Source organism: Homo sapiens, chromosome 4 (assembly GCF_000001405.40).
Source record: "Homo sapiens chromosome 4, GRCh38.p14 Primary Assembly".
Lineage (NCBI taxonomy): Eukaryota > Metazoa > Chordata > Mammalia > Primates > Hominidae > Homo > Homo sapiens.
The window spans coordinates 152283567-152311130 of NC_000004.12; the positions used below are offsets into that span (position 1 = coordinate 152283567).

Genomic DNA, 27564 nt, shown 5'->3' on the forward strand with positions numbered 1-27564 from the left:
CTTCCAGGTCCATCCATGTGCCTGCAAAGGACATGATCTCATTCATTTTTATGACAGCCTCATTTTTAATAGCTCATCATATTCTAGCATATGGATGTATAACAATTTAATTTGGACATTTTGGTTATTTCTGTTCTTTACTTTTATTTTTGCTCCTATAAATTCTGTATATCAGTATTGGTTTTCTTAGGATTGATTCTGAGGTCAAAGTATTTTTTTAAGTAAATTCTTAGATCAAAGTATTTTTTTAAGTTTTAGGTACACATTGCCAAATTGTAGATACTCAAGCAAAGCTTGAAGAAGGCATAATGAAACCAGGGATCCAGGTCAGGCTTCAGGGTGTGAGGAGAGCAGTGCTGAGCAAGGGACTGTCTGAGCTCAATTTCTGACACCATGAAGGGTTGCTTGATCAAGCTTGGAATGTTGAAAAAATTTCCCCTCCCCCACAAGAAAATCAACTCCAAACCCTAAGAGTCCCTTAATAATCTACAGATGTCTCTTCTCTGATGATACTCAACCCATTTTAGGGATTCCATGTGAATTCTCATCTGGACTATAGCAATTATTTCTGAAAACCAGACTTTTGAAAGAAGCACATGTAACTTTTTTAAAAATAGCATTTTTAGTGCATGCTATTATCATTGTTACTTATTCAAATGTGTTGATGGTAGAGTAGGTGGAAGGGTGATGTTTGCATTGGCATGGCAACCAGTGACTAATTGAATTCCCTTCACAGCCTATAATGGCTTCTTTGACTTACATGGGGCCAGAAATGGATTTTCTTTTTGCCCCTGTGTGTCACTGGCTTATGGTAGAGAAAAGGTTACCCATTCGTGATCTAACCCTTTTTTATTCTATTTATATTTTCCGTTTGTGCCACCCTTGGGGCTATGTTTAGTGAGTTTACTTCCCACCCTGTAATGTGAGATTTCTTTTGATCTACAAATGCCTCTTGTAGGGTATAAAATATGACTCCTAATTACTGTAACAGCTAATATTTATCAAATCCTTACTGTAGTACCAGGCACTCGGCAAGGCGCTTTACATATTTTTCTTTTAGCCCTTAACAAAACCCTATGATGTGGGTCCTATTACGATCATCCTTTCTTAAACAGGTGAGGAAGCAGATGGAGGTTCAATGACTTGGTGAAGGACACAGAGTTCACAAGAGGAGGGTAGACCCTGTGCTCAGGAAGCAGAGAGTCTTACCACCCTGCTATCCAGGCTGCATCGAGTCCCCATGAGGATGTGGGATTTGACGGCCCAGCTCACGGTCAAGCAGGAGCTCTTCCTTCATGTGATAGTTCTTGAGCATATCCTTTCTCAGACTTTCTGAGCTGGAAAATGCCAGGACTTCAGTCTGTCCTCACATAAAAGTTCCTTCTTGTCTTTGCCTAATTTAACAAATCCTGGAGATTAAATGAGATTTTCCTCTTTCTTTTGGTCTCACAAATAGTATCTTAGTCTCATCAACTCTCAGCTTTTTTCATCTATAAAATGTAAAGCTAAAGCTGGCTCACCTGAGGGTTGTGAAGATGGCAGGGGCAGGCCTCCACAGAAGCCCGTTGCATGGGGCCTGGCACACAGTAGGTGCTCCATAAAGCTCACTTGCCTCTGTCTCTTGTTGGACTTCCAATGACAACCTGTCTCCATCGTAGAGCTTCTGGACAATCAATGTTATCTCTGCTCCTCCTGGCAGCACAGGGCTCCCGCCCAGGCCCACTGAGACACGGGGTGGTTGGGATCCTGGCCTGGTTCTCCAGTGAGTCATGATGTCAGAAGGTGCATGGTGGAGAGAAGGGAACATAGGCTCAGGAGCAGTGGCAGCGGGGTTGCACCAGCATGAGGAGCCCTTCGGGTGCTATTAGAAGGCTGACTTTAGACAATCCATGAACAACAGTCTGTTAGTCACTTGTTGGCTCTTTAGGCATCAAAAACAAGCAAAACAAGGAACACTAGTGCTTGGTGAAATCCTTGGGGTGAACTCTACAAACACAGATAGGAAATGATTGGATAAGAGCAGTTACGAGTTAAGGGAAGCAAGAGATCTGAATGAACCATGGACTGAACATGGGCTACTGATGTATGCAGCTCACAAAACTCTGGGCAACATGCATTACCTCTTAGCTTGACACTGTGCAGCCATGAAAAAGGAAGCTGCAGAATGCTATTTTATGACATGGGAACATATGCACAACATGCTGTTAATAAAGCAACTCAAAAATTATGTATCATATGATAACTATAAATACCAAAAACATGAAAAATATGGCCAAAATTTTAATAGTATCCTTCTTTGGGTAGTTGGATTATGGATTGGTTTTTATCTTTGTGTTTGAAAATAAAATTTTCTATAACAAACATTTATGTATTTTCTAATCAGGAAAACAATAAACATACTTTTTAAAGAGCACAATCATTTCACTGGGATTTTAAGGCTAGAAAGATAATTGCTTCATTTGAACTGGCAGATCAGGTTCTGTCAAGAGCACTGGGCCATTTATTAAACAAATTCACTGAGTGTCATGTGCTAAGCACTGTTCTAGGCTCAGTTCTGGACTCTGTGATAGCAGGGACATGAACAACTTGGAAAGTTCAAGGGAAGGTTCACTGGAGAATCAAAGGTGTAACAGTCAAGGAGGTCAGTGATACTCAAACTGTGGTCCTCAGATGGGCAAATCAGTATAACTCGGAAGCTTGTTTGAAATGCAGATTCTCAGGTCCTACCTCAAAGGTGCTGAATCAGAATCTCTGGTGCAGGGCTCAGAAATCTGTGCCTTAACACGCTTTCCAGACGATTCTAAGCAAGCTACAGAATCTGAGAAGCACGGGGCTAGGTTATGCTGCAGAAAAAAATAACCCTCATCTCTAGGCTCATAGTGAAAAAGATTGCTTTCTTGCTGACACCTCATGTTCATCGAGGGCTAATTGTGCTCTTCTTCATGACCCAGGCTGACCCACTGAGCTACCTTGTCTGGAATGATGCCAATCATCAAGGCAGAGGGAAATCAGAGCACAGTGAACCACAACCTCGCTCTAAGGCTTCTGCTTAGCAGGGTTGTGACTCACATTTTATTGGCTAAAGCAAGTCACACGGCTAAGTCTCCATAAATGGATTAATGAAGTTGAGAAATATGAATTTTCCCCAGGAAAAAGTAACACATTTCTTTTTGGCTTTTATTTTTGAGTTAGTTATAGACTGCCTGCACTGTAAAAAATAATACAAAGAGATCCTATATACCCTTCACTCAGTTTTCCCCAATGGTAACATCTTGCATGATGATAGAACAATATCGCAACCAGGAAATTCCAGCAACCCAATTCAGACGTCAGGTTTTACATACACTCCTTTGTGTGTATGTGTGCATTTAGTTCTATGCAATTTTATCACACAGCAAATATTTTTTAATAATAATCCAATCTACTCCACCTAGTCCAAGTAAAGGACTAGGACTATTTAACTGGGGAAGTAAGACTGATATCTCTCCTCTCACTAAGATCCCTGTCTTTGAAAAATGAGTTCATGGAGACCGATGGGACTAGATCAGAAAAAACAAAAATGTCTTTAAATCTATCTTGAGGAGTTGTAAATGTAGTGAACATTTGTAGGTTTGGCCTACCCAGCATAACTCCCCCTTCTGGGGGCAGAACTTGTATTTTGTTTTGGGAAAGCATCCCTCTCCCATTTTCAGGACGTGTGTGCAAGTGGGGTTGACCACATTCTGAGCTTTAAGGGTGGGCACCTCCCCTGGCTCACACTTGGCCTTGCAACACATTCCATCTTCCTGGCCACAGTCACTGGTTCAGAGATGGACACATGAACTAAGCTGGTCCCATAAGAACCAACCCAAGACATTTCACTGAAGCGATTGATAAAGATGCTCTCTTTCCACTGGTGCTGCCAAACTGGTAAATTACAACCTTGAATGCTGGAGACCAGCAGATAAAGAAAGTCTGGCTGAAAAATGCAATCAACACTAAGAAATGGAGGAAGAAGACCACACCTTGATAACATTGCATGATCCCCTGGATCCAGCCATGCCTGATGCTTCACTCCTTTTGGACTTTCCAGCTAAGTGAACTAAAGAATTCTCATTTTTTAAAAAATTCCTGCTTAAACTAGTCGGAATTGGGTTTCCTCTCACTTATTCCTAAGAGTCTTCAAGTCCTGACTTACTCAAGAAGGGAATTCCCAATTCTAGACAGGGTAAGCAAAGGAAAGTGGTAGTTCTCCTCTTCCCAACAGTTTAAGTGAAAATAAGTACATAGAGAGGCATACACACATATGTATGTGGGGGGAGGTCTGTGTGTGCATGCATATATATTTTTTCTCCCTAGCCACTTAAGCCCTATTCAGTAACTGTCTACCTTAAAATTAAAGTCAGGCAATAAGCCCAAGAAAATAGAATAAACTTTCTCTTCCTTGCCCTTGCCTTGGGATAGGTTTCCCACGCTTGTGAGAGAATTTTCAGATCTGAAAAAAAAAAAAAAAAAAAATTGTGCAGAGGGACTCTTCATTGCTGAATGTTTATGATTGTAAGACTTATTTTACTGGGCAAATTTTGAATCTAGTAACTATGAAGGCTGTAGAGAAAGCTATAAAATGAACAATATTCTCAGAGTTTTGCAATGTTATTTTTCCTCCCAGGGGTTTCCAGCCGGCCTGAGTGTTCACATGGTTATGCAGGTAAGTGCCGACAGAATGATGCATTTTCCCCATTGAACAGAAAACTATGTGAGTGTGGGATCAATAAAATATGAAAATGAAGCCTCAAACTCCAGAGTATGTAAATGCGGGTATTTTAATTTCCCTTGATAACAGACAAATATAGCCATGAGAAGCTTCCTTGAGAGTTTTGTCATCTGCCATTTACAGAGAGTGGGAAGTTATGGAGCAATTAGCCAAGGAGGGAGAAGAAGTGTCCCCCAGCCTGTGAAGACTGTCCCCCCAGCTCAAGGAGGCCATAAAGGGCCAGAATGTGTTAGTACCGGTCACCCCAAAATGCCCAGATCCTCCCAGGAAGCTGCTTGAAAAATGTAAAAAGTGAGGTCTAAATTGTGAAATTATGCTTTGTTCTTCCATGCGCTCAAAAGAGCTACCATTTGGCTGCTATTGTGACTTTGAAACCCACTGTAAGGAACACTTCTGCCACTGGAAACTTAATTGTGGCCTGTTTTGAAGATGTATGCTTTTGTGGGAAATTACGGTTGAGCCTTCTGAGCCCTGTTTCAACAGTCTATCACTTCAGCAGGGCTCTTCTCTTGAATGGAGCTGCTGGAGCCACGGCAGCAGTGGCATCCATGTACAGGGCCCAAAGCTCTGCCACTGACAGCTGTGTCATCACCGTGCATGGCTTACCATGATTTTCTTACGTGCAAAATACAAAACTAATGTGTAAAATACACATTATTTACTTATGTGTAAAATACAATACTAATACCTATTTCATAGCTTTGTGGTAAAGACTTCAAATAGGTAATAGGTAATAGATTCATGATCCTTTTGCAAACAAAAAGGCACATACACACGAGATACCACTATTGCAGATTCCTCAGGTCATGTTCTAGAAGCCACACAGACAGCACAAGACCAGCCATAGGGAGGCAGAATGTGATTTTCTATTAAGGAATGAGCTTAGGAAAGTGATATTGGAGTAAAAATATAATGGGTAGACTTTTACACTTTGGGACTTAGCCATTGAAAACGATCAGAAGGAACCTACTTTTTTTTTTTTTTTTGGTAGAGACAGAGTCTCACCATGTTGCCCAGGCTGGTCTCTAACTCCTGGGCTCAAATGATCCACTCACCTTAGCCTCTAACGTGCTTGGAGTTAGGCGTGTGCCACCATGCTTGGCCAGAAGGAACTTAATTTTGAAGTAGAGAAAGGGTGCAAAAAATTTTGAGTACCTCAAAGTACTGAAAAGAACAAGATGAAGTTTCTGGAAGTTACTTGTATGTTTCTTGGTAATGTGGACAGCTGTGTAACAGTAGTGAGAACACAGTTCAAACTGGAGTTTGAATCCTTGCCTACATGGCCTTATGCTCATTTTCTTCCTTACGCCTCTGAGCGGTTTTCTCATCTGTAACACTGGGATTACAATACACACCAGAGAGGGTTAGAGTGAGGATTAAACGAGAAACACAGGGAAAGCTTTTAGCACAGTGCCTGGCAAGAAGTGAATGCCAAGAAAGGCTATGATTTGAAGAAACTTGGGATTCCAGGAGAGCTAAAGAAAAGTATTTTTTTTTTACAAGGCACAGAGAAAATAGATAAAAACTGTCCAAGGTTTGTCAGCAGATTAGGCTATATCTTTTCTGCTTTCAATTTGCTATTTTTCTCTTTCCTTCATTGTGACCTCAACTGCATATTGCTCTGATTTTATATAAATCCTGTGTCCCAACAGGGAAGCCCTGTGGAAATGAAATACTTAATGATATTTCCAACTTTAAGAAAGATTTCAGTAAGGGCAGCTCTGCTCTGGGTGATGCTTTACATTAATCCGATGGATGAAGAGTCTATTCCCAGCATTGAGACTGTTAACGGAAAGATTTGAACAGAGGGGCAGGCTTGGGAAACTGGATGGATTCCCAGATTCACCCGAGTCAAGTCTTTCCAGTTCTGCTTCATCATGTTGTTTGAAATAAATTCCCAGAACATAAGATTCTGCCACATTCAGAAAAAATGTTCCAAAATTCCATAGAAATGTTATCTGGCTGATTAGCTTCTTTAAGATGGTCAAAGCTGTTTTCTTCGCCATCAGTACCAATAATCAAGAGTTGACTCTGGTTAAATGGGGAGTAGTTTTGAAATACCACAGTGTTTTTAGGATTCAGTCAACCTTGTCTTAGGATGGCCAAATACCATCTTGCTTTCTTTCCCACTCCAAAGATGAGTTACAAATCATATTTAAATAGTAAAATGATTCATCACCCCCATTGGTTTGAGGGAGGAATGAGGATTGTATCTTATTAAACTTGATGTGCACCGTGCCCAGCACAGTTGCTAAAATGGATAATAATTGTGTAGGAAACATATTTTAGATTTCTCACAAGAACAGTTTGTATTCAACAAAACTACTAGCTAGTTAGGAGTTATACATAGTTCAGCAAACATGCATGACTAACACACTACAGCCAGGCATCACTTAATGATGGGGATGAGCTCTGAGAAATGTGTCAATAGGTAATGTCATCATTGTGTGGACATCACAGAACGTACTTACGCAAACCTAGATGGTAGAGCCTACTACACACCTAGGCTATATGGGATAGCCTCCATGGCTATAAATTTGTACAGCATGTCACTGTACTGAATACTGTAGGCAATTGTAACACAGTGGTATTTGTGTATTTAAATATATCCAAACATTGAAAAGGTACTGCATTGCACTAGGATGTTACAACAGCTACAATGTCACTAGGCAATAGGAATTTTTCAGGTCCATTATAATCTTATGGGGCTACCTTCATATATCCAGTCCATTGTTTACCAAAACTTTGTCACTTGGCACATGACTATGATCTATACCACCTATAAACATTTATTGAGAACCTACTACGTGCCACACATGGTTCTAAGTACTAGAGATACAAAGACAAATAGGGCACGATTCCTGCCTTCATGTTCAGACTGATAGGAAAGAAGCCAGTATTGGTCAAGGTTCTGGATGGTGGACAACATAATCCACTCTAGCTAGTTTAAACTGAAAGGGATTAATTAAGGTTTATAAATATCTCAAAAAACCATTGGGAAGAAACAGACTCTATGCTGAGCTTCCAGGACTCCACTAAAATAGCTTGCCCAAAAGATAAGTTGTCTTTCCCACAGACAGGAACCTCTGAATCAGGAAGCTACCACCACTACTGTTGGCTTCATAACCACATCACATCTGCCATCATCCAAGCCAGCAGAATGAAGGCCCGTATCCTGCCTCTTTTCCCATGAAACTTAGATATGAATCCAAGTCCTGCATGAACATATCTGACTTGCAGAATATAAATCAATATCTGCATCCTAGCACAAGAGGCTGGGAACTGCAGGTGTGGTGTGATAGGAATTTGAGATGTAAACCATGGGAAACTATAAGAATATGGAGACGCTGTTTAAGAGATTTAGGGCTGCTAGAAATGACCATTGTCCTCTACAGTGATTAAATAAACAACTACAGTAGAAAGCACAAATGATGTGACTGACGTACACATGGGATGCTTTAGGATTACAGAGAATGATTAAATAATCTAGAATGATGGAGACATCACGGAAATTAATCTCTTGAAACAAGCCTTGACTGAGTAGGACTTAGCCAGGCAAAGAAGTGCAGGGAGAAAACATTCCAGTGGCATTCAACATTCAGAAAAATATTCCAATAACTTTGAGAAAAAACTACCTTTGTGTTATGTACTGAGGTTACAGATGTGATTTAAAAAAAGACTCATGCCTTGCCCTGATGGAGCACACAGTCCCCAGCAGCAGGACAAAGGCTGCACTGAACTAACTTCAGTGGATTGATATAATTTTGCTAGAAGGTCAAATATAGGTAACATGGGGATCACGGTGCCCTGCTTAGGGAGATGCATGAGGTGGATGTATTGTCTTCTGCCTGCATCCTAGTGGCTGAGTGGGCACTGGCCTGAGGACAGCTGATCCATATGTCTGCCTGTGACCTCTGAGTAGGCAAGGAGCAAAACTCATCTCCAACAGAGACAATGGTGACCAGCTGCTGAAATTGTATTCTCTCTTTCTAAGGATTGAACTGAAGGGTGGGTGGAGAAAATTCATGAGTTGGCTAATAGAACTAGAAGCAGAGAAAACTCACATGAGAGAAGATGAATTTTGTGTAAACAGAAGACAAAATCCACGAGGTGTGGGAACAATACTTTGACTAGAGGATGAGGGGCTAATGGAAAGGCAGGAACAACAGAGGCCGAGGCAGAATGAGGCCTGTCTCAGTAATGGCAGAGAATCAACAAACTCCTGCTAATGGGGGCAATGAGAGCCCAGTCCCAAGAGCTGTGCTGGATCCTTTCATTTCCGGGACTCCATTCTAATCTCTGCAAGACCCAGCTATATGACTGTGCTTGGGAAGTCTTGTTTTGTTTTTGTTTTTTAATTCCCATCTGCAACCTTCCCAACCATCCTGTGAGTAGCCTCCCAGCCTCTCTGTTCCATGCATCAACTAACACAGTGGGAAGTTGAAAGTTCTGGATCTTGGCCCAATCAACATGGAAAGAGGAAAACATTTTTCTTAAAATGAAAAAGACACCAGAGTTAAACATTAATTGATGACAGTTTAAGTTTAGTTTTTTTTATATTTAATTTGTACCTATAAGTTTATTTCTTACCAAAGCGCTATTGTATGTTTATTGACTTGAATTGCTATGAAAATGTTACTAACAATGAGTGAAATAATAAGTGCTGTTATTACATCCTCCCACCCCAATATCCTTTGACCCTCCTCCTCCCTTCCTGGAGATGAAGTCTGCATGCTGCTATTTGCCTTACTGGTGATCCCAGCTTTCTTATGCATGCAGACTTCATGCATAAAAAAGCTGGGATCACCAGTAAAGCAAATAGCAGAAATGCATGTTTTACTGTATAATATTAAAGAAAACCTACTTTATATTCAGAACAATACAGCCCTTCTTTCTTACCCTCAGCATGTAGTAAAATGCTAAACACATATCTGGTGCTCTTAAATGTATATTGATTGATAATGTTTAAAATCAAAGGATGTTCAAATAAAAGTTATTGCTTCTGTGCGAAGCTAGATTTGAAAAAGAGAGGCCCTGGGTTACTGTCCTAAATGGTGCAGCCTTATCCCATTATGGGAACTTTTTCCTTAGCAGAGGAAGTTTATTGATCCTCTGCTCTTACTAAGACCCAGCCCTCTCTGCCTAGGCTTCCACTGTTCCTGACAAGGGTCCAGGTGGAAAGCTGAGGAGCCCCTGTCCCAGGAGGAACTAGCAGCCCAAGGGGACCAGTGACAAGTCAGACCAAGTGTTGATCAAGCAAAGAATTAGACTGGATATAGAGATACAACTGGCGCTGGAGCAGAGGTAGTTTTTGCTCACTCATTCATTCATTCAGCAAAGATTTATTGAGAAGGAGGATTTAGGACTAAATGAAACCGGTCCTGTTCTCAAGTTGTTACAAGCAAGGGAGTCAGGCCCTCAGGGCGATCTACATAAGGTGATGTACAGCTGATACAGCAGAAGAGTCCAGCCTCCTGAAACGGACTGGGAGGAGATGATGGGATGGCCCCTCAGCTGGCTAGCTGTGTTCATGCACAGCTTCAGCTCTGCCTGATCGGAGCAGGTTAGAGAGAAGTGACTGGTAAAAATCAAACAAAGAACAGCAACAACAACAACAGGTCCCAGGGACCCCAGGCCGAATGTCAGCTTGGCTGGCTAGTCACCACATGGAAGTCTACTACTATTATAATTATTAGTTAATATCTTTTATTGAGCACTTACTCTATTCTAGACACTCTGCCAAGTAGTCTTTTGATTTCTCGTTTAGTCCCTCATTTTATAGGCGAGGGACACTGAGCCTTGGGGAGGTGATGCTACAAGTCAATGCCTCAAATGCTAGGGTGGGGAACCCACCCAAGTCAGTCTGGCTTCCCACTTCTGCTCTCATGGACCGCAGGTCTGTGTTCCCATCTAGATGCCTGGGCATCTAGAACCACAGCTGATTCTAATCTCTACTTGCTCCGGTGGAGGCAACCACTAAAATTTGAATGTGCTGTTTTCACAGACCTAGGGATCAATGGTAGCTGCAAGAGGCTGAGATAGTTCTGACGTCTGTAGAATGAGGAGGGAATTGGTTGTCTGACGTCTCACCTCCCACCAACAGTCTGTGTAAGATGCTTTGGATGTTCTGGCATTGAACCAAGTTCAGTGGATTGATACAAAACAGGGAGGTGAGGCGGAGGCTAGAATAATGAAGGCTGTTCCAAATTCCCAGGATTCAGAGGTTGCCTTTCAGCAATTACATTCCTGGCATGAAAGGTGAAATTGTCAGAGAAGGCTGGGGAAATAAGGATGAACCTTGCTGAATGGAGCATGGTCAAGTGGTAGAAAATTAAAGAGCTCATTGTTAATCACACAAAGGAGCAATTGGTACTGGTTGCAAAAAGAAAAATAGAGATGTCTTTGAGACCAGGGAAATAAAGCTTAAAAGATGTATTTTTTTATGGATATAGTTGGTTTTACCTTTAGCTATTCCCATCTTTATTGAGCCTTTGTTCTTTTCTCCTAATATTCTGTTCCACAGGGGTATTTCATTGAATGCCCACTGTGAAGAAATAGTCTCATTTAAATAGAATTTAACATTAATGTGATAATCCATCTTTAAACTGGAAACTAGGGGCCAATTTGTCTTGGTCCATCACGTCACCATTTAGATGCTGATTCATTTCCGTGACTTTTCCTTCTCCTCCCTCAAGCCCTCCCCTATCTGCTTTGCTGTGCATCCTTACCTGCTGCTTCTGCATTCAGGGCGGGTGTGTGCGGCACTCCTTCCATGTCCACTGGCGGGGGTGGCAAAAGGTGTCTTCAACTTGGATATTGTTCTTGGGGAGTCCCAGTGGCTTCCAACATCGTTTGGACAAAATGTAGTGGGAGTTTGGAAAAGGGGGCCAGCCTTCCCTCTGGGGAGAATCAGGGCAGGCTTCATGGAGAAGAGAGCTGGTCCCTGAAAGGAGGCATTTTTCAGTCATGAAGGGAATATTCAGGGGCAAGAAAAGAAAATGGAAAGGGGAGAGTGCAGGGTGGGGAACCGGGAAAGGGGAATAGAAGCAAGGGCCAGCAGAAGGAGTTCATTTTCCAAAGACAAACCTATGGAAACTGCCACTTGCCCTTGTCATGGTGTTCGGATTGTGCACTTGGGACCTTGGGGACAGAGGTGTTGGCAAAGTCTTTCTCTAAGTCTTCCCAAAAGGAATTTCTGTTATAATAGAATGCCTTGTGTTTGCACAGCCACCTAAGTCACATCTACGAGTGTGTGTATACAGTATATAAATGTGTGCATAGACTCACACACACACACACACACACACACATATTTCTTTTCTTTTCTTTTTCCTTCCCTAAACAATGGTTCTCAAATTTTAGGTGAGTCAGAATTTCAGACTGCTGGGCCTACCCAGCATTTTCTGATTTTTGGATTCAGTAGGTCTGGGGTTAAGGCATAGTTTGCATTTCTGACAGGTTGCTGCTGATAATCAGAGACCATACTTTGAGAATCGCTGGTCTAAAGTATTCCCAAAGAAGGCTAAAGGATGGGTTAAGTATTTAAGTAAAAACTACCTTTATGCTTTTGTTTTGTTTTGTTTTTTTGAGACAGAGTCTCGATCTGTTGGCCAGGCTGGAGTGAGGTGGCACAGTCATAGCTCACTGCAGCCTGGAACTTCCAGCCTCAAGTGCTCCTCCTGCCTCAGCCTCCCCAGTAGTTGGGACCACAGGTGTGAGCCACCATGCCTGGGTAACTTTTTAATTATTTTTAAAAGAAATCTCATCAAATTAGATGAGCCAGTCTGTAGTTCCAGGATTCACCCAAAAGATTCTCGGGCCTCAAATGACAGAGTTAGATGGCAGAGCTCATCTTACTAAGGAGGAAATGCCTGTTAGTAGGATGCTTTGAGACAAATGGGGCCAGGAAGTTGGCAGCCCTGGGCTACAGCAGTTCTTTATCAGCCTCTATACTTGGGATGCCCCATCTATCTTGAAGGCACCTCCCTCACCCAAGTGCCAGGGGCAGCTGGTGTCAAAGAAGGTGCCAGAACAAGTGCTGCATCTGGTCTGCAAGCTTGTTCTGGGTCTTCAAGAGACACTTGCTCTGGGGTCCTGGAGGTTGGTGGACCCTGAGTCTCCCAGGAAACCTCCCTGCTGGCTTCCCACAAGGAGAGAACTTGTACCTCCCCTGCCTTATTATCTGTTCCTGTTTGTATCTCATTATCCCACCAATTGCTTGGCCTCTGAGACCACCCAGCTTGAATATTATTTCCCATTTATGATTGTTAAAAAGAGAAAAGAATCTCTTCCACAATAACCTCCTGGAAGCTTAGGAAGCAGGGGCCATCTGACAGGTCATATTTGTACAAAAGAAAACCTTTGAAATGCATGTTAAGGTAGTAATTTCCTTCATGTGTATCACAGAGAATTTCTAAAGCAGTCATGTTGCTTTCTCTTTTTCCAATAAGCTCATTAGTCTGTGACACGAATCTTATTTGGAGCAAATGGGTCAAGGATAGGGAGGGGGAGGCCCCAGGAAGAAGATTCCTTTAGAAATTACATTTTGAAAAGATTACATATTTATCTATGTCAAGTAAAACTATCAGATATGTAGAGGTCATGTTAATAGTAGTTATCTCTGACGGTAGGATTATGTACAATCTTCATTTATTCTTTGCTCTTGTATATCTTTTGTAGTCAGAAACAAAAAACAAAAAACAAAACATGTGTTTTAAAAATCAGTCTTCAGTCCCATTGCCTTGGGGATATGGTATGTGCGCAGGAGACCAAACCCACAGGCAAACAGTGATGACAACAAGAGGTTCAAATAGAAGGAGAGGTTCTGCGTGCCAGGGCAGAGAAATCCAGGAAAAATGGGTGTTGGCTGGTTCCTGGGGGATGTGTTGCTCTGAGAAAAAATGACAAAAGTTCTACTTTTACTTCAGAAATAAGAAATGGCCTTTAACCCAAGAGAGAAATAGAGGAAGGCACCAAGTTTTAAGTTTAGCAAAGGCGGGGTGTTGTGGATCAGAGGTGGCCCCTTTGTGGCCTCCCAAGAGGCAAGGACCCTCTGTCCCCCAGTGCTCCCCTGTCCCCAGTCTGTGAGGCCCTCACCTTCCCCCAGGAACACCTTTGAAATGGAGCAAAGAGTTTTAATGACTTTGCTGCAAAAAGCCCTGGCTGGCATCTTCTCCTCTGAAAATGATCTGAGTTTCTTTTTCTTTTCTTTCTTTCTCTCTCTCTCTCTCTCTCTTCTTCTTTCTTCTGCATGACTCTGTATGGAGTTACTACATGTGATGCTGATGGATCTTGTAAAGTCTCACCTTCCTTTGTGCCTGCCCTTTTCTCTTCTGAGTCCCAGGCCTATCTCAAGATCTCTGGGAGATGCTCTTACCTAACTCACAGACTCAGCTCACAGAGGGTCCCTGGCTGTGCTGCAGGCTTTGGGGCTTGTGTTTTCTCCATTCATTTGTTGTCAGCCTTCTTTATGGACTCTTCTTAGATTCTTGGATGAGAAAAAAACCTATAAAAACCCAAGATGGCCAATTAATAATAATAAGAGAGCACATTAAAACAAGGAGATCTCATTTTCTATCAATTGGCAAAGGTGTTGGAATAATCCCACATGGAGCCCCTGGCATATATTCTCTCCTGGCCCTGTCTTGTGAGTGTAAACTGATGCAACATTCCTGGAGGGCAATTTAACAATGGGTACATAGAGCTTTAAGACCATGTCACACCAGTTGACCTAGCAATTCCACTTTGATTAACCAGTCATAAGGAAGTAATCAGAGATGTCCATGAACAATTAGTTATGCACAAGATGCTCATCAAAGCATCATTTATATTAAATAATATTAAATTTATATTTTGTTCTTCTAAAGAGAAAATAGGGCAGTTGATTAAGTGAATAATAAATACATACAATAGAATACTATGCAGTAATTATAAATCATGTAGCAGAAGTAGATTTGATGATGTTCGAAGTATTTGTGCTTTACTGTCAAATAAAATACTGAAGAGTACACCCAGCCTGCTGTGACCACAGCTCTCTCCTCAGTATTCATCAATAGCCACTTGCTTTTGTGACATGTGACACCTGCCTCTTCCCCCAATACCTTGGTCTGTGCTCAAGAAGTATAGAACAAAATCAGCTTTCCCCAAAGTAGCTTTTTTTTTTTAATTGCAAGTGAAAGAAAATCCAAACCAAACAGGCTTAGGAACAAACAGTATTAAATTGGCTAATAACCCAAAGGCAGGGCTGGATTCAGCTGGGAAACCATCCAATAGTTCCACAATGTCACCACGGACCTGGTTTCTTTTGGGAAGTTATTTGTCTCCCCTGTCTTTCTTTACGAATGATATCTGAGTTGGTCATTGACAGGGGTTTTTAAATCTCTGCTAGAAAGCCACTGGAGTTGTCCCTCATTTACTTATTCCCTTAGGATCAGGCAGGATGCAGAGGATTTCTCTTCTGCCCTCCTGGGAGTTGATGGCATATTTAGGCTCATTTTCACATAATGGCTGTAGTAATTCCATCTTTACCTCACATCTTCCAGAGAAGGAAAGAAAAAAGGTTTGGTAGCTTTTACGCAAGTTCTGGGAGTAATGCCTTCATTTGTCCAAATTCTATCATGTGACCATCCCTGAACCAATCACTTAATTGGCAGGGGATGCACTAATTGGCTAGCCCTGGAGGTTATGAGAGGTGGGAGGAGGAATCCACAGGGCAAAGGAAACACATATTACAAAAAGAAAAGACACAATAGTCACATAAGTATGAAAAAGGTTAAACAGTCACTTATTTCTTTCTCAGAGCCTTCAATATGTTAATGTATACCTATTATACTTTTACAATATGCATGATCAAGAAAGAGTTAGGAAGAGCGGGGCTGAATATGTAGGATTTCACACAGAGCACACTGAAGAATGCTGGAATGAACCTCAGGAAGATCGGTGACCTGTAGATAGGGTGGCCATTTATCCCAATCTGCCTGGGACAGTCCTACTTTATCCCTGCTGCTCCAGTTTCATCACCATTAGCCCCTACATTCACTCTCAGAAGGGCCCCAATTTGAATGATAAATTATATGGTCACTTCCAGTGACCTGTATTGAGGACTCCAAGTTGCTCCATGTTGGAGATTGTGAATCACTGACCCAATCAGACCTACTCTCGGAGGGCTGTGAATTTGAGAGTAAGAAAAAGAGAAACATTAGGAAAAAACCGAAACAGAGAAGCACAAGCAGTAGTGGCATAGACGGAGGAAGGCTGAATCCTGGGTGTGGTGGGTCCCAGAGCAGGAGCCATAGGGTACGGCAGGGGAGCCCAAGGAAATCAGCCAACCCCAGGCACCCTGACTCTCCCGACTGTTAGGCTGCTGAGATGCTGTCCTGGGTCAACTCACTCTCTAGGATGCTTGCACAATCTTCATCCCTGGAGCTCCCCTGAGCACACCTGCATGGCTCACCACAGCCTTTCTCAGTGTGGTTCTCAACTCTGGCTGCCCATCAGAACCACATTTGCCACTGTTAGGATATACAGACCATCAAAACACCTCCACTCTCTGCCCCAGCTTTTTTATTTACCAGGAAACATATTTCAAAATGATAGCTTCAAAAACCTGGTTTGTTCCAGATGATGAGATTATAGCATGTTTTAATATATTCTCCTTTGTTCTTTGTCATATTTTCCAAAAGTTCCGCAATGAACAAATATTTCTTTGGTAATAAGAAAAAAATAGCTATTAGAAAATAAGAAAGTAGAAGTAATCCCTTACATTTATGATCAGTTAATTGTCAACAAGGGTGACAAGGTAATTCAACAAGGGAAAAAAATCATCCTCTTCAACAGATGATGCCGGGACCACTGGATATCCACAAGCAAAAGAATGAAGTTGGACCTTCATACCATTATTAACTCAAAGTGAATCACACACCTAAATGTAAGAGCTAAAACTATAGAACTCTTTTAGAATAAAACATAAGTATAAATCTTCATAGAACTAGGGTCATGGGTTTCTTAGATACAACAACAAAAAGGAACAAGAGAAAACAACAACAACAACAAAGATAAATTGGACCTTATCTAATTTAAAAACTTTTGTGCTTCAAAGGACACCATTAAACAAGGGAAAAGGCCACCCAGAGTATGGGAGAAAATATTTGAATTTCTCCCACGTAACATGTAAAGAACTCTTGCAGCTCAACAATAAAAAAGATAATTTAAAAATAGGCAGAAGATTTGAATATATATTTCTATAAAGAAGATAGACAAATAGCCAATAAGCATATGAAAAGGTGCTCAACATCAGTAGTCACTGAGGAAATGCAAATCAAAATCACAGTGAGATACCTGACTTCACATCCACTAGGATGTACTAAAATAAAAGAAGACAATAATATATGTTGGTGAGGATATGAAGAAACTGGAACCCTCCTACATTCCTCATGGGACTATAAAATTGTGCAGCCCCTTTGAAGAACAGTTTAGCAGCTCCTCAAAAGGTTAAATATAATGTTATCATATGACCCAGCAATTCCACTCCTAGGTATATACCCAAGAGAAATGAAAACATATGTCTACACAAAACTCATACATGAATATTCATAGCAGCATTATTTATAGTAGCCTAAAGGTGAAAACAACCCAAATATCCATCAGCGATTGAATGAATAAATAAAATGTGGCATAAACATACAATGTAAGTATTCAACAATTAAAAAAAAAAAAGGAATGGGCCCAGCCTGGTGGCTCCTGCCTATAATCTCAGCACTTTGGGAGGTCAAGGCAGGAGGATTGTTTTGAGTCCAGGAGCTTGAGACTAGCCTGGGCAACATAGTGAATGTCTCTACCAAAAACAAACAAACAAAAATAGCTGGGTGTGGTAGGGTGGGCCTGTAGTCCCAGCTACTGCGGTGGAGGGGAGGGCACCTGAGGTGGGAGGATCACTTGAGCCAAGGAGGTTGAGGCTGCAGTTACCTGTGATTGTGCCACTGCGCTTCAGCCTCGGTGAGAGTGAGACCCTGTCTCAAAAAAAAAAAAATTTAAAGAAATATTTTTTAAAAATTTAAAAAAGAATGGAATACTGATACAAGCAACGACATGAATGGACCTTGAAAACTGTATTAAGTGAAAGAGGCCAGTCACAAAAGATCACACATTGTATGAGTCCATGTATATGAAATGTCCAAAACCATCGAAGTGATAGAGGCAGAAAACATATTAGTAGTTGCTGCGGGCATGGGTTAGTGATTGCTAACGAGTTTGAGATTCCTTTTTTGGGTAACGAAAATGTTCTAAAGTTAGACAGTGGTGATGGTTGCGCAAGTCTATAAATATACTAAAAACAACTGAATTGTACATTTGAAAGGGTAAACTTTTGGGTACATAAATTATATCTCAATAAAGCTGTTATTAAACACAGTACCAAACAAGGAAGTCAGGTGCAAAAGCATGTGAAAGTAAACTGAGGGCATTTCTAGAAGGGCAGAGGTTAGAAAAGTGGGAAGGGCTGGGAGTTAATAAAAATGAATGAGGTGGTAGGGCAGGGGGTCCCTGAGCCCCATCCTGCCTCAGCTGGCCACAGCCTGCTCCACTGGTCTACCAGACTGGATTCCTTTAACTGCCATAGTGTTCCAGGACATTTTTAAAAATCAAAAGATAATTGGGTCCGGGGACGATTATATCTTGCTAATCCATCTGCTCCTATTTTTTTGTTAAAGTATGGTTTAGAACAGTTTTAGATTTTGAGAAAATTTTTCTGTAAATTTAGATTTACAGAAAATTTGTGAAGATAGTTCCCACATACCCTGTACCTAGTTTCTGCTATTAGTAACAACTGACATTTGTATAGTACATTAGACACAATTAATGACCCAATATTGATACATTATTATTATTATTCGAGACAGAGTCTCGCTCTGTTGCTCAGGCTGGAGTGCAGTGGCATGATCTCGGCTCACTGGAACCTCCACCTCCTGGGCTCAAACCATCCTCCTACCTCAGCCTCCCAAGTAGCTGGGATTACAGACATGCATCACCATGCTCAGCTAATGTTTAAATGTTTTTTTTGTAGAGACGGGGTCTCACTATATTGCCCAGGCTTGATACATTATTGTTATCTAAAGTTTATACTTTATGCAGATTTCCTTAGGCTTAAAAAAAAATCAGTATCTCTTTTCTGTCCTAGGACCCCACATTACATTCTGTTATTACATTTTCTTGGGCTCCTCTTGGCTGTGCCAGTTTCCCAGACTTTCCTTGTTTCTGATGTCCTTGGCAGCTTTGGGGAGCACTGGTCAGGCATTTTGTAGAAACCCTCTGTTGGGATTTGTCTGATGCTTTTCTCATAATTAGACTGGGCTTAAAGGATTTTCAGACGAAGATCACAGAGGTAAAATGACATTTTAATCACATATCCGGGGCACATATTATCAATATGAATTATCACTGTTGATGCTGACTTTGATCACTGGGCTGAGGTAGTGTTTGTCTGGCTTCTTCACTTACAGAGTTACTCATTTTCCCCATCTTTTCCATGCTCCAGCCTTTGGACAGAAGTCCCTGTATGCAGCCCACACTTAAGGAGTGGAGAGACAGGCTCCACCTTACAAGATGGAGTATCTACATCAATTATTTGGAATTCTTCTGTTTGGGAGATTTGTCTCTTCTGTCCCATTCCGCTCATTTGTCTATGTCAGTATGAACTTAAGGATATTTATTTTATACTTTCAGTTATAATATAATTCTATCTTATTTTATTATTATTATTATTTTGCTCAAATTGTTCCAGCTTTGGCCATTGGGAGCTCTTCCAGTTGACATACCCCACAACTGGTGGGGAGAGGGTGTTTGTTTAGCTTTTTAAACATTTTTATTTATTTTTAGACCTTCCTTACTTTCTGGCAGTACAAGATAAGAGCCTTTTTAAAAATATTACAATTTTACATAAACATTTCAATTTTACATAAAAGTAAAGAAAATAGTATAAAGAAATCTCACATTCCAGTCCCTTAGGTCTAACAACTGCTAAAATTTTTTTGGTATATTCACATCATCTGTTTTTATTTTTATCTCTAACAAAGATTTTTAAAACATGTAACTATAAAAACTGCAATGTCACTATCACATCTCACAAAATAAACGCTAATTCCTAAATATCACCTATGATAAGTCATTGCTTAATCTTGGCTGACTGTTAAAAAAGGCATTTTTATAGTTGAGGTGGTGAAATCAGGTTTACACTGGATTTGGCTAATTGTATCTTCATGGTGTGATTTAAGATGTTCATCTATCTCCCATATTTCTTATAAACTAGAATTAGATCCAGGAGCTTGATTATATATCCCCCAAAGTTAAAAACGTTAATGAGGAAGCCTACACCCTGAATGAGACTTTGAGACTTTGTACTTTGAAGAAACTTCTCTCTCGTGGAAGTGAATGCCCTCCAGACCCTATGTTCAGGAAGAAGCAAGAGGCTTTAAGGCTGCCAGGAATTCACTGCTGATGATGCCCAGTGGAAATGTCAGGAGAAATGTAACCAGGCTCATATTTTATTAAGGTTGTGATTGTTGTTTGCGAGTGCTTTGGTTACCAAGTTCCATTGGTTTTTATGGACTGCCCCAACTCTATTTTTCCCATAAGCCCTATTATTTTTTAGCATGCCATTTTGTAGAACTCAGAGTTTTTAGCAATGTATATGTGATGTTAGAGCAGAAATGCCAATACATTTTTCTTGAAAAGAATAGAAGGCAGTCAGGTCAGTCCTGGAAATCTGAGAACGTTTGGTGTCTCTGTATGCAAGGCCCCTCTTGGCCTGTTTCCATTGCCACAGAGCCTGACAGTCCTCTTGAGGAACCCTTGGGTTGCAGCTCCCCCTCAGCACCTCCTCGTGGTCCACAGGGAGGGGTCCGGGCCTGGCAGGGCCTTGCCTCTGTTTGCAGCTTCTCTTGATTCTTCTGATTCTGCTTCATTTACTCCCATAGCCTCTGTCCCTGCACCAGGGCAGCAAGACCAGTTTCTTTTACAAAATGTTATGAGTCAGCTCCCTGCCCGTCCTCAGGACAGCAAATTGAGCTCCCTCATCTGCCGTGCAAGAAGGGCCTTTCGGAAATGTTAATTAATGATGAGGCCATGCATTGACAGACCAAGCTCAGGAAACAGCTCGTGCGTGCCAGGTGATTCTGTTCCCAGGCAAAACAGTAGACATACTGCTGCTTTGGGAGTTAGGGGGTTTTTTTAGTGATTCATTTGTAGTGCTGGGAGAAATGATTTTTCTTTTAGTTTTCTCTCTTTCTCTATTTTACTCTGTTCCCTGCCCCCCAATCAATTTTTCAACAAGTAATTCCAAAGTCTTGGTGCCAGGTGTCTTAGAGAGTGAGAAAATTAAGTTTTAACTAAAATGTATGTCTTACAAAACAAAGGAACAAACAAAATACACCTACTGGTGCTTTTAGAAAGAAGGCCACTGGGTGGATGATAGTTGCAAAATCAACAGAACTACGTTGTGTGACCGGGCCCTACATCACATCTTCCCACTTGGGTACCCCATCTCCTCCCTATTCCAAAGACCAGGGGGCACCACCAGATCCCCCTTGGAACATGGAGTCATGTAGACCGAGCCTGGCAGCGGGACTGCTCCCTCCTTCTTTGGGAGAGAGGCCCCTGGGAGCATCCCCACCTATCCTCCGGGCAGGGGAATTGGGTGGGTCTCAGGCTGCAGCTGGAGTTTTGTCACCAGGCCAGTGGTCACCTCACTGCACCATGTTATGTGATGGAAGAATTTCCACATCTGCAGGTGACTCTGGAGTGGTTTGTGCTATGTCCTTTCAGATTCCTTCTCGGCTACAGTTCCCACACATGAGGCTCCAGGAATGTTTTTGAGGTTCTTGACTCAAATAAGGTGGGAGTGCACACAGAGGGCCTCACTCCTCACTGCCCAGAACTCGAGATGACCGTGAGCTTCCTTCCATTCCTAACCCTCCTTCTTGGGATCCTTCTTTTAAAAATTTCCCCTGCTTTCCTGAATCCCTATTTCCTCCCATTTCTCTGAACATTCTACTCCCTTCCTCAGAAATCATGTCACAAGTTTCTTCTTGTATCTTACATATTCCCCAACTTCCAGAACTTCCTGGAACTGGACAAAGAGGAGGGCCAGCTTTAGTTTCCTGGGTAGAGGCCAATCTCCAATCTCCACCACCATCTGTTTGACGAGTCAAATGACAGACACACATTCAGCCTCTTTTGCTCATTGGTAAATTAGAGATAAAACTCACCCATTTCTCAGGCTTGCTGTAGTATCAAAAACTGGCTTGCTGAGAGGTGGCCATTATTACTACTGATGGTGCAAATGGAACACCATTTTAGTTTCAAAACGGTGTTTCCAGCCAGGTCAGCTGCCTAGCACCTTTCCCATAAAGTTGGACCTCAAGGCTGCAGGTCGAGGGCAACCTAAATGTGGTCAGCCTGCCGAGCCCCAACTCCCAGCCAGCTTGCAGGTTCCTCTCTTGGACCCTCCAGGAGCCTCCATACTGCAGCTACTCTCTCAGGGGTCTGTTCAGCCAATGATGGCTTCCAAAACCTCCCCCTTCAGACCAGACCCTAGGGCCTTCCCCTGCTCTGCAGAGTGAGAGAAGTGGGGTCCTAGGGCAAATGCCAGGCGGAGCTCTACAACCACCTTCCAGATCCAGATTCAAGGAAGGGCTTTCCCAACCTCTTTCCAAGTTCACTCCCACCTTTCTTTTTGTTTATTTTTTTGAGACAGGGTCTCGTTCTATCACCCAGGCTGGAATGCAGTGGGGCAATCACGACTCACTGCAACCTCCACTTCCTGGGCTCAGTGATCCTCCCATCTCGGCCCCTTGAGTAGCTGGGACTACAGGTGCAAGCCACCACGCCCGGCTAATTTTTTGTATTTTTTGTACAGACAGGGTTTCATCTTGTTGCCCAGGCTGGTCTCGAACTCCTGGACTTAAGTTATCCACCTGCCTCAGCCTCCCAAGGTGCTGAGATAACAGGTGTGAGCCACCGCCGCCAGCCATCCTGCCTTTTAACTGGCAAAGCCTGGGGATGGATAGTTGGAGGTGGCACAGAATGTGGCACGTGACAGTTCCACAGACTCAAACCAGCTCTCTCAGGTTTTCTAGCTCAGTTGAAAATAATCGTTTACAGGGTGGGATGGGGGAGCATTGGTATTTCATTCCTTACAAAGCTCCTGTTGGGGCTGGAGGGTCAGTCTACAATATGTCTGATGAGATTTATTGTCTTATGGGAGTCCAGTTCCTTTATCTGATTCCCAAAAGTTTTGCCTGAAACCCAGACCCTGTAATAAGACAGCCACCAGAGTGTGTCAGAAGTCACTGAGAACCACATTTCTTCAGAGTAGTTGGATTTGGGGAACAGGGAGTAATATTTTTTCCACAAATCAATTCTGCTGAAGGATGGTGTGCCCTCCCACCCTCTGAAATCCCAGGAAGCTTCTGTCATGTGCAGTAGCAATTCAGCGTCCACTTGGTAAAAATAGCTTTTTAATTTATTGACTGGCAAAATACTCTATTTATCAAACCATTCTGGGTTCTTCTAAAGATAAAATGGAGGTAAAACCCAAAAGGAAAATTAAAGCTTTAATGCAGTCTTGCAGACTTCTGCTTCATTTCATTGTAAATTGCGTGCAATAAAACATAGCATCGGCAGCCTGCATAAAGCAGCTGTATAATTTTCTTTTGTGCAGGGAACTAATTCTGAAGACTTCTCACCTAAGAGAAGGCTTACGATGGTGGATGACTCCCGTACACTAATTATGTCTTCCTTTATTTCTTTGGCTTGAACTCTTAATTTGCTTACAGTTTAATGAACATCAGTTCTTGCTGAGAAATATCTAAGTACCTGGGAGATTGAACACTTAGGCAGTCAAATGCTCTCACTCCCAACACTAATCTTCAAACCCTCTGCATTCTAAACAGACTTCTAAAGGAGAGTGGCTCTTTAAAGGCTTGTGAATCACTTTTGAGCAGTAACTGTACACTTAAATTAAAAGCCATGATCTGGCAGGAGACTTGGGTTGTGCTTTAAAAAAAGAAAAGAAAAGGCTTTCCTAGTTCAGGTACAAGGCATGAATTGCTGGTTTCTATCATTGCCTGATGCAAAAACCATGAATTGTATAGCTGTTTGTTTCCCTGACTTTGGTCTTCCCAAGAGTTTCTCCAAAAAGGCTTAGTTACTTTCTGCAGGTGTTTTCCCTTTATCTCTGAGAATTTAGAAACTGAGGAGCTGGAGAAGCAGGGAGGGGGTTTCCAACCTGGACCTTGCCTCTCATTTCCAAGGTCTCTTTCCTTTAACACTTCACTCCTGGAATGGTGATGCTGAGCTTACTTTGATGGCAGATAATTTCAATATATATCATTACAATTAATGGCCATTATGTGCTTCACTTGCCATGACTTCTCAAATTTCAGTATTTGAGATGAAGGACCATTCAGATCAGCACCGGAGGGTGAATGTACAGATTCTGGTTCAGCAGGTCTGGAACAGGACCCAAGAGCCTGCATTTCCAAGCAGCTCTCTGGTGAGGGTGCTGCTGCCGCAGGACACTCTGAGTAGTAAGAACGAAGCTCTGTACCTGGATAGTCTGAGTTCTTCTTCATTATGGCGTCTGAGGTAGTACTCTTACAGATGAGGCCACCGATGTGCAAAAACAGGAAGTAATGTACCTGAGGTCAACGAGCTGTAAACGGCAGAGTCTGAAATTGATTCCGTTCCATTTGATTCCAAAGCCTGAGAATACAACCCCTGCACATTGCTCCTGCATTTTTCAGTAGGTGCTCTTGTGAAAAGGAAGACATGAAATGAATTGGTTCATTGCTCTTAATCCAGAATATTCTGTGGGTAGTCCTTGTTAAAGCCAATAAGCCATCTCTTAATTTACCACCATTGTCAATCAAGGTTTGTGTCCAGCTGGGCATCACTGTGTTGCCATAGGAGAACCCAACCTCGACAAGCGCTGAGTAGCCAATGTAGGCTGGCCCAGTGCTCCTGGCAAGGTAAGGGAGGAATCAGTGTGACGGAGATCTCTGGTCACATCTCTCTAATGCTTTCAGCACTCCCCAAGGAAGCCATTTTCTCTCTGATGACGTTGGGTCAGATTACTCAGAAGTGGATTGTAAACGGACAAGGAAACTTTTGCACTTCACTTGAGAATTTCAAATGGCACAATGTGTTGCTTCTTCATTTGGGTGAAATAATTCACTTTTTTCTAACACTGCACATTTAAGTCAGGGCCCTAAAGAGAGGAGCAACAGCACATGGTGGTTAAATGTGTCCACACTGGAGCCAGAATGTCTGGGTTCAAACCCTGGCTTAGCTAGCTGCTATGGACTTGGGTGATTTACATAACCTTTCTGTGCCTCTGTTTTCTCGCCTGAAAAGGAGAGGATGATAACAATATTCCCCTCATAGGCTTACTGTGAGGATTACAGAATTTATACATGTGAGGTCCCTTGCCATGGGATAGCACCTCAAAAACGTGAGCTGCCATTATTAACAGGAAGCTGGAACAGCCTTGCGGAGAGTGCTCCCTGAAATGTGGGCGATGTTTCTTTCTTCTATACCTATAGCCCCAGGAGCTAATTTTACTGATTCTTTACAATAGGGAATAATGGGAAAATAAACTTCTGCAAAGAATTGACACTATAAGTAGTCCAAAGCAGAGAGAGAGAAAAATGTATACGTGACTGTTAGCACTTTTATGGATGATGCTTCTGTTTACACGTTGAGTCTTGAGGCTATTTAAATTAAGACCTTCTGCTTTGACTACAGCTGTGTGCACAGGCGATGTTTGCTGAGCCCAGTTCCTGTGCTATCATTGCAGGACTGAAATGCAAACATACTTGTAAAGAGGAAACACACTTTTATTTCCTAAGGGCCCTCTAATCAAGGCAAAAGCTATTACTTGATCGCATAATTAACCTTAGGAATAGAAGTGTAAACAGCACAATTCATGAATTTGTTAATTGGTCTTCCCTGCTACTGATATTAGCCCAAGTTGATCTGTTGTTCTCCTCTGTTGATTATCTTAAATAGGAAGTTTTCTAATTTGGATTTCTCCAGGGTAAGCAAGGGAAAAGAGTGAAGTAAGATATTTTTAACAGATTGAGAATATTCTGTAATTTTTTTTTCTTCGAGGTGGACACAACTGGAGGGAAGATACTATATATGTTATCAGATTTGGACCTCTTTCCAGATTTCCATTCTGTGCAGTGATTAGCCACATATCTGGCTTTCCCCCAACCTCACCCCCCAGGCAGTGAATACATAAAACAACCAGTAATGTTTCATAGGCAGCCATGCTTCCTGGACTCTGAATCTCAGTCTAATTTGGTTCTAATTTATTTTCCCCATTGCAATGACTCCTTAGCTGAGCGGAAATAAACAGAAACACTGGGGGGTTGTGTAGACTCAGGTCCTGCAGGTGGAGAACATGTGTGTGTGTGTGTATTAGTCTGGGGTGGGGAGGCTTTGAGGAATATAGTACCGAGATCCCTCTCCCATGAATTTTAAAGAATTGTACTCACCAACCAGGAAACTTGAATTCTGAGAAAAGTGGACATGGTACATCTGTAGTAGGAACTTGGGCCAAGTTCCAGAAACAGCCAATCAACACTTCAGAGATTCTTTCATTCTTTCATTGGAGTCCCTCATTATGACACCTAGTTATTCAATTAAATTAGACCTTAAGCCTCTAAGGGCTGCTTTAATTTAAAAAAAAAATTCACTGAGGGTAGTGATACTAGGCCTGATTTATTCACACATACCTAAAAATATTTGCAGAGACATCTGAGCAATCATCACTGACGAATTCAGAAAATTAAGAAGCTGCCCACTTCAACCAACAGGCAACTTCAGTTAAGAAGGAATGGTTAAAAAGCCCTTAACAAAGAGAAACTTGCTAGTGGTCTCTCTAGCTGCTTTGAAACCTTAAGGAATCTTGCTGGGTAAGAGTCTAGGTCACCAAGCGGAAAGCCACAGTGAAACATATACAAATGAATAGCCCGTGGCTATGGGATTCAAACACCACAAACCACCAAGTGCAGAGACATGGAATGTCTGTGGTTTGGGGGCCTTCTGGCAAAACAGGATGTGTTCAGAAGGATCAGGTGGCAGCAGTCTGTCATTTAGACCTTAGGACTTAGCCTGGAGAGCTGAGCTGACACAGGGAGCCCCCCAGGCTGACTGCCATGCCTGTGGGTGGGCCTCTGAGGCTCTCACTGGCTCTAGGCCTTTAGAGAGAGCAGCCAGGGCAGATGATTTCATGGGCAATGTCTCTGACTGTCTTGGGCAGATTTGGAAAGTCAGGAGTAACTCACAGTGATGGCACACCCTGTCACAGCTGGGCTGCGGACCAATGTACACCCAGACCAATTCACACTGCACACTTCCAGGTATGAAAGACCTTTGGTCATCATGGGAATTATGAACTCACCCTAAGGATTCCATGCAGTGGGACTAATAGAGGTGCACAGAAGTCCTTCCAACTCATTGCTTCTGCTCTTCTATGGACCCCACTCTGGCCTTTTTGAAATTTTGATCTAGAATTTCAAGGGAAAAAATAGAGTCCCAGAAGGGATACTCTGAACTTCACTTTATAAAAAGTTCAGTCATTTTCATTTTACTGAAAAGCATTTCCATGTGGAGAAAACACTTAAGATACCTGGTGGGAGAATCTGGAAATAAACCCCAATGAAAGTTAGGAGGAGGTGATGGGAAAACAGGTTGGAGAGGGGAGAGGGCACTTATATCCTTGAGGATCCCCAAGTGGCTGGTCCTCTTGATAT

The 27564-nt window shown here is 42.1% G+C and overlaps 1 long non-coding RNA gene across 1 annotated transcript, besides 1 other annotated feature; it reads right to left on the bottom strand.

Moving 5' to 3' along the window:
* On the bottom strand, positions 1–27199 carry LOC105377492 (uncharacterized). Its single transcript, XR_939354.3, has 4 exons — positions 26305–27199; positions 14130–14258; positions 11482–11696; positions 1–1986 (listed from the first exon to the last, which is right to left on the bottom strand). It is a non-coding gene; the product is annotated as an uncharacterized LOC105377492 (long non-coding RNA).
* Positions 20572–20641: an enhancer, noted in NCBI's record as "active region_22029". NCBI's record gives its function as "activates an Ori minimal core promoter by ATAC-STARR-seq in GM12878 lymphoblastoid cells {active_cell/tissue: GM12878}" and the evidence as "EXISTENCE:reporter gene assay evidence [ECO:0000049][PMID:35858748]".
* Positions 27200–27564: the final 365 nt, after the last annotated feature.